General features: G+C 41.9%; 1 protein-coding gene across 6 annotated transcripts in view; it reads right to left on the bottom strand.

Annotated features, from left to right (window-relative positions):
• The window catches only part of CCL28 (C-C motif chemokine ligand 28), a 55417-nt gene extending 46414 nt beyond the window's left edge, over positions 1-9003 (bottom strand). For all 6 annotated transcript variants that reach the window (XR_427660.3, XR_925633.3, XR_241706.4 and 3 more), the window contains exon 1: positions 8865-9003. Coding sequence is in view for 3 of the 6 variants with exons in the window: in NM_001301874.2 (NP_001288803.1) it covers positions 8865-8928 (64 nt within the window). In the remaining 3 variants the exon portion in view is untranslated. The remainder of the gene's footprint in view (positions 1-8864) is intronic.
• Between the last annotated feature and the right edge of the window lie 3630 nt (positions 9004-12633).

Consider the following 12633-nt stretch of genomic DNA (forward strand, 5'->3'; position numbering starts at 1 on the left):
CAGGCAAACAGGGTCTGGAGTGGACCTCCAGCAAACTCCAACAGACCTGCAGCTGAGGGTCCTGACTGTCAGAAGGAAAACTAACAAACAGAAAGGACATCCACACCAAAACCCCATCTGTACGTCACCATCATCAAAGACCAAAGGTAGACAAAACCACAAAAATGGAGAAAAAACAGAGCAGAAAAACTGACAAATCTAAAAATCAGAGTGCCTTTCCTCCTCCAAAGGAACGCAGCTCCTCACCAGCAATGGAACAAAGCTGGATGGAAAATGACTTTGACAAGTTGAGAGAAGAAGGCTTCAGATGATCAAACTACTCCGAGCTAAAGGAGGAAGTTCGAACCCATGGCAAAGAAGTTAAAAACCTTGAAAAAAGATTAGATGAATGGCTAACTATAATAACCAATGCAGAGAAGTCCTTAAAGGACCTGATGGAGCTGAAAACCACAGCACGAGAACTACGTGACGAATGCAGAAGCCTCAGTAGCCGATTCGACCAACTGGAAGGAAGGGTATGGTGATGGAAGATGAAATGAATGAAATGAAGTGAGAAGAGAAGTTTAGAGAAAAAAGAATAAAAAGAAATGAACAAAGCCTCCAAGAAATATGGGACTATGTGAAAAGACCAAATCTACGTCTGATTGGTGTATCTGAAAGTGACGGGGAGAATGGAACCAAGTTGGAAAACACTCTTCAGGATATCATCCAGGAGAACTTCCCCAACCTAGCAAGGCAGGCCAACATTCAAATTCAGGAAATACAGAGAATGCCACAAAATACTCCTCAAGAAGAGCAACTCTGAGACACATAATTGTCAGATTCACCAAAGTTGAAATGAAGGAAAAAATGTTAAGGGCAGCCAGAGAGAAAGGTCGGGTTACCCACAAAGGGAAGCCCATCAGACTAACAGCTGATCCCTCAGCAGAAACTCTACAAGCCAGAAGAGAGTAGGGGCCAATATTCAACATTCTTAAAGAAAAGAATTTTCAACTCAGAATCTCATATCCACCCAAACTAAGCTTCATAAGTGAAGGAGAAATAAACCCCTTTACAGACAAGCAAATGCTGAGAGATTTTGTCACCACCAGGCCTGTCTTACAAGAGCTCCTGAAGGGAGCACTAAACATGGAAAGAAAGAACCAGTACCAGCCACTGCAAAAACATGCCAAATTGTAAAGACCATCGATGCTAGGAAGAAACTGCATCAACTAACGGGCAAAATAACCAGCTAGCATCATAATGACAGGATGAAAATCACACATAACAATATTAACCTTAAATGTAATTGGGCTAAATGCTCCAATTAAAAGACACAGACTGGCAAACTGGATAAAGAGTCAAGACCCATCAGTGTGCGCTGCATTCAGGAGACCCATCTCAAGTGCAGGGACACACACAGGCTCAAAATAAAGGGATGAAGGAAGATCTACCAAGCAAATGGAAAACAAAAAAAACAGGGTTGCAATCCTAGTCTCTGATAAGACAGACTTTAAACCAACAAAGATCAAAAGAGACAAAGAAGGCCATTACATAACGGTAAAGGTATCAATTCAACAAGAAGAGCTAACTATCCTAAATACATATGCACCCAATACAGGAGCACCCAGATTCATAAAGCAAGCTCTTAGAGACCTACAAAGAGACTTAGACTCCCACACAATAATGGGAGACTTTAACACCCCACTGTCAACATTAGACAAATCAACAAGACAGAAAGTTAACAAAGATATCCAGGAATTGAACACAGATGTGCACCAAGCAGACCTAATAGACATCTACAGAACTCTCCACCCCAAATCAACAGAATATACGTTCTTCTTAGCATCACATTGCACTTATTCCAAAATAGTTGGAAGTAAAGCACTGCTCTGCAAATGTAAAAGAACAGAAATTATAACAAACTGTCTCTCAGACCACATGCAATCAAACTAGAACTCAGGATTAAGAAACTCACTCAAAACTGCTTAACTACATGGAAACTGAACAACCTGCTCATGAATGACTACTGGGTACATAACAAAATGAAGGCAGAAATAAAGATGTTCTTTGAAACCAATGAGAACAAAGACATAACATACCAGAATCTCTGGGACACATTTTAAGCAGTGTGTAGGGGGAAATTTATAGCACTACATGTGAACAAGAGAAAGCAGGAAAGATCTAAAATTGACACCCTAACATCACAATTAAAAGAACTAGAGAAGCAAGAGCAAACACATTCAAAAGCCTACAGGAGTCTAGAAATAACTAAGATCAGAGCAGAACTGGAGGAGATAGACAAACAAAAAACCATTCAAAAAATCAATGAATCCAGGAGCTGGTTTTTTGAAAAGATCAACAAAATTGATAGACCACTAGCAAGACTAATAAATAAGAAAAGAGACAAGAATCAAATAGACGCAATAAAAAATGATAAGGAGAATATCACCACCAATCCCACAGAAATACAAACTACCATCAGAGAATACTATAAACACCTCTATGCAAATAAGCTAGAAAATCTAGAAGAAATGGATAAATTCCTGGACACATACACCCTCCCAAGACTAAACCAGGAAGAAGCTGAATCCCTGAATAGACCAATAACAGGCTCTGAAATTGAGGCAATAATTAATAGCCTACCAACCAAAAAAAGTCCAGGACCAGATGGATTCACAGCTGAATTCTACCAGAGGTACAAGAAGGAGCTGGTACCATTCCTTCTAAAACTATTCCAATCAATAGAAAAAGAGGGAATCCTCCCTAACTCATTTTATGAGGCCAGCATCATCCTGATACCAAAGCCTGACAGAGACACAACAAAAAAAGAGAATTTTAGACCAATATCCTTGATGAACATCGATGCAAAAATCCTCAATAAAACACTCACAAACCAAATCCAGCAGTACATCAAAAAGCTTATCCACCATGATCAAGTGGGCTTCATCCCTGGGATGCAAGGCTGGTTCAACATACACAAATCAATAAACGTAATCTAGCATATAAACAGAACCAATGACAAAAACCACATGATTATCTCAATAGATGCAGAAAAGGCCTTTGACAAAATTCAACAACTCTTCATGCTAAAAACTCTCAATAAATTAGGTATTGATGGGACGTATCTCCAAATAATCAGAGCTATTTATGACAAACCCACAGCCAATATCATACGGAATGGGCAAAAACTGGAAGCATTCCCTTTGAAAACTGGCACAAGACAGGGATGCCCTCTCTCACCTTCCTATTCATCATAGTGTTGGAAGTTCTGGCCAGGGCAATTAGGCAGGAGAAAGAAAGGATATTCAATTAGGAAAAGAGGAAGTCAAAATGTCCCTGTCTGCAGACGACATGATTGTATATTTAGAAAACCCCATTGTCTCAGCCCCAAATCTCCTTAAGCTGATAAGCAACTTCAGCAGTCTCAGGATACAAAATCAATGTGCAAAAATCACAAGCATTCCTATACACCAATAACAGACAAACAGAGAGCCAAATCATGAGTGAACTCCCATTCACAATTGCCTCAAAGAGAACAAAATACCTTGAAATCCAACTTACAAGGGATGTGAAGGACCTCTTCAAAGAGAACTACAAACCACTGCTCAATGAAATAAAAGAGGATACAAAGAAATGGAAGAACATTCCATGCTCATGGATATGAAGAATCAATATCATGAAAATGGCCATACTGCCCAAGGTAATTTATAGATTCAGTGCCATCCCCATGAAGCTACCAGTGACTTTCTTCACAGAATTGGAAAAATCTACTTTAAACTTCATATGGAACCAAAAAGGAGCCCACGTTGCCAAGACAATCCTAAGCAAAACAGAACAAAGCTGGAGGCATCACACTACCTGACTTCAAACTATACTACAAGGCTACAGTAGCCAAAACAGCATGGTACTAGTACCAAAACAGAGATATAGGCCAATGGAACAGAACAGAGTCCTCGGAAATAATACCACACATCTACAACCATCTGATCTTTGACAAACCTGACAAAAATAAGAAATGGGGAAAGGATTCCCTATTTAATAAATGGTGCTGGGAAAACTGGCTAGCCATATGTAGAAAGCTGAAACTGGATCCCTTCCTTACACCTTATACAAAAATTAATTCAAGATGGATTAAAGACTTAAGTGTTAGACCAAAAACCATGAAAACCCTAGAAGAAAGCCTATGCAATACCATACATGCCATAGGCATGGGCAAGGACTTCATGACTAAAACACCAAAAGCAATGGCAACAATAGCCAAAATTGACAAATGGGATCTAATTAAACCAAAGAACTTGTGCACAGCAAAAGAAAATACCATCAGAGTGAACAGGCAACCTACAGAATGGGAGAAAAATTTTTACAATCTATCCATCTGACAAAGGGCTAATATCCAGAATCTACAAAGAACTTAAACAAATTTACAAGAAAAAATCAACCCCATCAAAAAGTGGGTGAAGGATATGAACAGACATTTCTGAAAAGAAGACATTTATGCAGCCAACAGACCATGAAAAAATGCTCATCATCACTGGCCATCAGAGAAATGCAAATCAAAACCACAATGAGATACCATCTCACACCAGTTAGAATGGCAATCATTCAAAAGTCAGGAAACAACAGGTGCTGGAGAGGATGTGGAGAAATAGGAACACTTTTACACTGTTAGTGGGACTCTAAACTAGTTCAACAATTGTGGAAGACAGTGTGGTGATTTCTCAAGGATCTAGAACTAGAAATACTATTTGACCAGCCATCCCATTACTGGGCATTTACCCAAAGGATTATAAATCATGCTGCTATAAAGACACATGCACATGTATGTTTATTGCAGCACTATTCACAATAGCAAAGACTTGGAACCAACCCACATGTCCATCAATGATAGACTGGATTAAGAAAATGTGGCACATATACACCATGGAATACTAGGCAGCCATAAAAAAGGATGAGTTCATGTCCTTTGTAGGGACATGGATGATGCTGGAAACCATCATTCTGAGCAAACTATTGCAAGGACAGAAAACCAAACACCGCATGTTCTCATTCATAGGTGGGAATTGAACAGTGAGAACACTTGGACCCAGGGTGGGGAACATCACACACCAGGGCCTGTCGTAAGGTGGGGGGAGCGGGGAGGGATAGCGTTAGGAGATATACTTATTGTAAATGATGAGTTAATGGGTGCAGCACACCTACATGGCACATGTATACATATGTAACAAACCTGCACATTGTGCACATGTACCCTAGACCTTTAAGTATAATAAAAAAAAATTGGTGTGGATGTATGTGTGGGTTCACATTGCTAAATGCATAGAGGAAATTCTGGAAGGATATGCAGAACCCTCTGGAGAGGGGAGAGGGATTAAAGGAATGATGAAGAGGGACTTTCCTTTTTTTAATTCTTTAAATTTTTATATTTGAAAATACACTAAGTATTTGTAACTTTCATAATATTAGGATAAATTCTTTAATTTTTGTGACATTTTTGGTAATTTTATTTTTTTGGTAATTTTTTACTTTTTTTTTTTTTTGAAATGAGAGTCTCACTCTTTCACCCAGGCTGAAGTGCAGTGGTGCGATCATGGCTCACTGCAGCCTCGAACTCCTGGGCTCAAGCAATCTTTCTGCCTCATTCTCCCAATTGCTGGGATTACAGGCAGCGAGGCCAAGGCAGGAGACTTGCTTGAGGCCAGGAGTTCAAGACCAGTCTGGGCAACATAGTGAGACTCTATCTCTACAAGAAAAATTTTTTTAATTAGCCAGGTGTGCCTGGGCATGGTGGCTCACACCTGTAATCTCAGCACTTTGTGAGGCCGAGGTGGGTGTATCACCTGAGGTCAGGAGTTTGAGACCAGCCTGGCCAACATGGTGAAACCCCGTCTCTACTAAAAATACAAAAATTAGCTGGGTGTGGTGGTGCACGCTTCTAATCCCAGCTACTCAGGAGGCTGAGGCAGGAGAATTGCTTGAACCCAGGAGGCGGAGGTTGCAGTGAGCCGAGATTGCACCATTGCACTCCAGCCTGGGCGACAAGAGCAACAAACTCCATCTCCAAAAACAAACAAACAAAAAATTAGCTAGGTGTGGTGGCATGCACCTGTAGTCCCACCTATGTCAGACCTCTTAGGGACCACAATTGGAGTCCCAATTGTGCAGAACAACATTGAGTCACAAATGTATATTCGTGGTAACCTTCCCTAGCCAGAGTCTTATGATTAAAACAAAAGGTAAACGTTTTAGGATGCAAGCAGCAAATCTCTAGCAAGTATTGGTGTGATTCAGTAGCCATTGTACTCTGAGAAAGAAGGTTGTCAGTGGGAAGGCAATTTGGGACTCACTGCAGCAAAACCTCCTAACTTGAATCTGCTGGGCACAAGTGAGCCTTAATCTTAATGTACAATAAAACAGCCAGGCCCACAAAGTCCTAGATTGTGGGTTTAAATAATCAGGCTCAGGGCCACCGAAACAGGATGATAGACATGTTTATGGATTCAGTATTGAGTTCTGGGAGCCAGCAGCCACGTCAGCAGAGGTGGAGTGTGCCCTACCTTTGGGCAGAATCCAAGGCTTTTAATTATAGATAAAGTCACCTGCTTCCTGATTTATGCAAAACACTTAGGGAATGCCAGTTATTGAGCCATCACAACAAGATAGCCATTTAAGACACCATTAAGATAAGGGAACAGCTTTCTGCCTCAAGGAAACAAAATATATTTCCCAAAGTTCCAAACTGGCACAGGCCTTTTTCCTATTCCCCTTGCCAAGGCCACCTGTCCTCTTCTCTGCACTGTTGAGTTGTTGAGTGTTCTCTACCTTCCTCCCTCCCCACTTGGTTTTCCACCCCCTCCCTGGAGCCAGAATCACTTAAGTGCCTCCCACAGGGCACCTGGCTTACATGGACACTTGAGTGGAAGTTTGTTAAGAATAGCTGTGGCGTTGCCCCTCTATTCCACGACTGTTCTCAGGCCTACTTGTGTATTTTTACCCAGTATCACTTATTTTTAAATGACAGAAGTTTGGAGCTTCTCAGGCAATGTGATTTTCCTGTGGCCTAAACTGCCTTAGGTAAAGCATCGAGACTAACCCAAAAGGCTATTGCTGGGTCTCTCGGCTCCCTTCCTTATTATCACCAGCAGCCGTACCTTTTCACACACCTCTGCATTTTGCCGTTCCACCCCACCGTCTCTACCAGGACTCAGTCCCATGTGAAGGTGGGTCCTGGGTATGGCAGAGCCTTCCTCATTACCCTCTGCCTCCTCGACCTGCTGTTCCCTCCCTCCTTTCCTGTAGGAGAGCTGCCGCTGTGGGGACAGGTGGGAGTAGGTCAGGAAGCTGGATGGAGGTACACATTTCAAAGTTTTATGTAAAAAATTTGAGTTGGTGGAATTACCAGAACTAGGAGTGAAGCCTTAGCAGGTAGGCCTTTCAGAAATAGTGAAAATGAGTCCCCAAATCTCAATGGTGAATTTTTCTGAGAAATGTTACAGAAACATAAAGTGACAAATTTTTGTCTTTATATTGATAAGATAGATAGATTAGTAGAAATTGAGAAGAGATTGTCCAGGTTTTTTCTGTTGCTTATTTGTATAAGCCCAGTACATTGACGGACTATATTGGGAGTCCCTAAGCAAATGCCTGCAGGGACCAGGCAGTTAATACAGCAAACTTCAGAGGCTCATCTGCTTTAGCCAGTTCTTGCCATGGTATGGTGGAATCATTGTTGCCACATCTGATTTCTCAAGAGAAGCTTTAAAATCCAATTTGTATGTGTGTATGTATGAGTATGTACATGAGAAAGCTTTCAGTTTTAAAATGTTGGCTCAGATTTTTAAAAAGCAGACCAAAGACTTATATTCCACCTCTGCTCTAGACTTAGAGAATCTGTTCAGGATAAAGCTTAAAGAAAAGATGACAATGGAAAAGAGTCATTGGTCAAGTATTAAGTACTGACACTTAGGGTTTCCTGAATATAGTAGTGAGTGCTACTTTAGAAGAGATTCCCTCTAGTTCAAATGCAGTTACAATCTCCAAATACATGCTAGCAACTCACGATTTAAATTCTCTTTGACATAATTTGTATGGTTCAATCTCCCTCATCCTGCTTTTCTTCTTTTTCTTTCTTTCCTTTCCTTTCTTCCTTTCCTTCTCTTTCCCCTCCCCTCCCCTCTTTTTGTTTTTAACAGATGGGGTTTTACTATGTTGCCCAAGCTGGAGTGCAGTGGCAATTCAGAGTGCAGTGGCAATTCACAGTGTGATCATAGCTCACTGCAATCTTGAATTCCTGGCCTGAAGCTATCCTCCAGCCGTAGCCTCCCAAGTAGGTGGGAATACAGGCATGCACCACTGTGCTCAGCTCTGCCCTCCCTTTTTAAAGGTCAGACTGAAGTTTCAGTTTTCTGTATCCATAGAGCTGACTTTGCTCAGGAAATTTACAACTTACCTAATTTGAACGCAGCTGGCCAAGTCTGTATTTCCCTCCAGGAATGTGCACAGTTGTGTTCAGACCGTTTAGCAGGTTGGGGTGTGGAGGAAGACAGATGAATAGTAGGGGCTTTACTCCAGCCTCTAGCTGGGGATTTTCTAAGATACTGTCTTCAGAAAAGGAAACATAGCTCGAAGTTGTACCTACATGGAAGGACCTCATCCTCCAGGTGGCAAAAATTTGTAGTATGCCTGTTAGAATGAGGTTCCTTCCTGAAACTTCTGGGAGATCTAGAATTTAAAGCTATGTCATTCTCTTGTAGGTAATCAGAAATCAATTGGAAATTCCTGCTTGAAGAGATAGATATTCTTGCCCCACCTCAATCCTTCCAGCACAGATTTGGGAGATACCCCCCTTTCCAGTGAAGGCCTAAGTGTCCAGTGCCCCCACTCACCTTCTGAGGCATGTAGGGCCGCACAGACAGCCAAGGCCACGATGGCGAGTCCTCTCTGCTGCATTCCTGCCTGCCCTACTGGCACTGACAGCAACACAAGTGAGGCTGTTCGATCAGGAAATGAGGCTAAAGGTGTCCTTGGGCACAGAGAAAGTGCAGAGGAAAAGTAAGCCAGGTGGCCCCGCCCTGGGAGGTGTTCAGGGTATCTATTTCTCATGTTTCTTTCCTTAAGACCAGGCTCCTCCTCGACTTATTAAGCTCCTAACTTGTGTTCATCCTGCCTGGGGGTCAGGGGATGTCAATGGAGATCTGGCAGCTGGCAGGGTCACTGTGAGGTGGGGTGTGCATCAGAATCATTTGGGGAACATTAAAAAAAATCAATCTAAATGACTCTCCCCTTTCCCTGATTTGTAAACCAGAACTCCCAGGTAGGAGACCAGTCATTTGAATTTTGTAAAAGCTCTATAGGTGATTCTGATGGACACTTATGTTGAGACCCATTGCATAATCAGTTTTTAAGTAGCTTATGGAAACCATGAGTTTCTGGGGACAAGGGTGACAAGTCATAAAAAATGTATCTTTGTGGAAAGATATGGAAGTATTAAACCCCACTTTAGTCTTGGTTCACAGCCAAATTGTTTCCAGTGAAGCTTTTTACAATAGCTTATTTAGGAGAAAGACAGGAAGGGGGGCAATGCCTTGTAGAAAAGAGCCCAAGAGCAGGTGTGAAGAGGCATGAGCGCTAGTGCAGCTTTGCTGCCAATCAGCTTTGTGAATAAAAGCATGGGGTAGCATGAAGATAATTGGATTCTAATTGTTCCTCATCTACTAATAAGTTGTATAACCTCAGGCAACGTACTTAACTTTGCTGTAAATAACAAGTCAGACTAGATGACCTCCAAAGTCATGCCATGCTTCCTCTAGAACTGTGTTGTCCTATGTGGTAGCCGCTAGCCCACATGTGGCTCTTGAGCACTTGAAATATGAGTAGTCCAAACTCAGATGTACTATGGGTATAAAATTCACACTGGATTTCAAAGACTGGGTACAGAAAAAAATATAAAATATCTTGTTAATAATGTTTATACTGTTTATTGATTACATGATAGTATTTTGGACTTTTTGGGTTAAATAAAATATATTATTAAAATTAATTTCACCCATTTCTTTTTATGTTTTCAAATTACTGCTGTGGTTTGAATATTTTTTTCTTCTCCAAAGCTCATGTTGAAAATTAATCCCTAATAGTGCTGGGAGATAGGGCCTAATGGACAATGTTTAGGTTATGATGGCTCCACCCTCATGAATGGATGAATGCTACTATAAAAAGGGCTTGTGGGAATGGGTTGGTACCTTCTGCTCTTCTGCCAGGTGAGTACACAATGCTCCTTCTCTCCAAAAGATGCAGCAAAGTGGCATCATCTTGGAAATAGAAACTGAAATCACTGGAGCCTTGATCTTGGACTTCCCAGCCTCCATAATTGTAAGAGAATACATTTCTGTTATTTATAAATTGCTCAGTCTCGGGTTGTGGTGTTATGATATATATATTGGCTTTTATCCATGGTTCCTGGCTTATAACTCCCATAACCCTTGTTACAGTTTTTTTTTGTTGTTTGTTTGTTTGTTTTTTTTTTGAGACAGAGTCTCGCTTTGTTGCCCAGGCTGGAGTGAGTTTCACCATCTTGGCAAGATGCTGGTCTTGAACTCCTGACCTTGTGATCCACCCGCCTTGGCCTCCCAAAGTGCTGGGATTACAGACATGAGCCACTGTGCCCAGCCCAGTCTTTTTTTTATATTATAATGTTGGGGCACTTTAGGCTTCAGGAACAGGCCTCAGGAAACGGAATCTCTCTCTGACCTTCTGTTTTTCTTTCACCTGCCCAAGGCAGGACTCTAATCTGATTGTGGGTCATAAGATCCTCATTCCAGAAAGGGTTCTGTCCCATACTCTAGAGGAAGGAATGCTACACAGGCCAAGAAAAGCCTGAACAGGCAGGACTTGCTGGGTTTAGATTATGTGCTTTTTGTCTAATCACATTTCTACATGGTTGTTAATCATGCCTATGTAATGAAGCCTTTGTAAAACCCCAAAAGGGCAGAGTTTGGAGAGCTTCTGGATAGCTGAACATGTGGAGGTTCTTAGAGGGTGGCGTGCCCAGGGAAGGCATGGAAGCTCTGCATCCCTTCCCCCATACCTTGGCCTCAAGCGATCCTCCTGCCTTGGCCTCCCAAAGTGCTGGGATTACGGGCATGAGCCACTATGTCTGGCCTTCATCTGTATCTTCTGTACTGTCTCTTATAATAAACCGTTAAATGTAAGTATTTCCCTGAGTTCTGTGAGCCACTCCAGTGTTGCAGGAAGTCAGGAACCCCGAATGGAGGGACCAACCGGCTGAAGCCATGGCAGAAGAACATAAATTGTGAAGATTTCATGGACATTTATTAGTTCCCCAAATTAATACTTTTATAATTTCTTACGCCTGTCTTTACTGCAATCTCTGAACATAAATTGTGAAGATTTCATGGACCCTTATCACTTCCCCAATCAATATCCTTGTGATTTCCTATGCCTGTCTTTAATCTCTTAATCCCATCATCTTCATAAGCTGAGGAGGATATATGTCACCTCAGGACCCTGTGATGATTGCGTTAACTGCACAAATTGTTTGTAGAGTATGTGTGTTTGAACGATATGAAATCTGGGCACCTGGAAAAAAGAACAGGATAACAGCAATGTTCAGGGAACAAGAGAGATAACCTTAAACTCTGACTGCCGGTGAGCCGGGCGGAACAGAGCCATATTTCTCTTCTTTCAAAAGCAAATGGGAGAAATATCGCTGAATTATTTTTCTCAGCAAGGAACATCCCTGAGAAAGAGAATGTGTCAGTGAGGGTAGGCCTCTGAAATGGCCACTTCAGGGGGTGGCCATCTTTTATGGTCGAAGCTGTAGGGATGAAATAAGCCCCAGTCTCCCATAGTGCTCCCAGGCTTATTAGGATGAGGAAATTCCTGCCTAATAAATTTTGGTCAGACTGGTTGTCTGCTCTCAAACCCTGTCTCCTGATAAGATGCTATCAATGACAATGCATGCCCAAAACTTCATTAGCAATTTTAATTTTGCCCCGGTCCTGTGATCCTGTGATCTTGCCCTGCCTCCATTTGTCTTGTGATATTCTATTACCTTATGAAGCACGTGATCTCTGTGACCAACACCCTATTCATACACTCCCTCCCCTTTTGAAAATCACCAATAAAAACTTGCTGGTTTTACGGCTCAGGGGGCATCACAGAACCTGCCAACATGTGATGTCTCCCCTGGACACCCAGCTTCAAAATTTCTCTCTTTTGTACTCTGTCCCTTTATTTCTCAGACTGGCCAACACTTAGGGAATATAGAAAAGAACCTACGTGAAATATTGGGGGTGAATTTCGCCCGATATCTGGCTGAATTTCCCCCATACTCCAGCCAATTAATCAAACCCATAGAGAGGTTGTGGGAACCCCAACTTGGAGCCAGCTGTTCAGAAGTTCTGGAGGTCTGGACTTGTGACTGGTGGGAAGTAGGGGGTGATCTCATGGGACTGAGCCCTCAACCTCTGGTTCTGGCACTATCTCTTGGTAGATAGTGTCAGAACTGAATTGGAGGACACCTAGCTGGTGTCCGCTGCTTGGTGTATGCACCAATTTACCCCCTACATATTTGGTTATAGAAGTCTTCTGTGTTGATGATTTTTGTGGTATGAGAGCAGAGGAAAAACAGTTCGA

The sequence above is a fragment of the Homo sapiens genome, chromosome 5 (assembly GCF_000001405.40).
Source record: "Homo sapiens chromosome 5, GRCh38.p14 Primary Assembly".
NCBI lineage: Eukaryota > Metazoa > Chordata > Mammalia > Primates > Hominidae > Homo > Homo sapiens.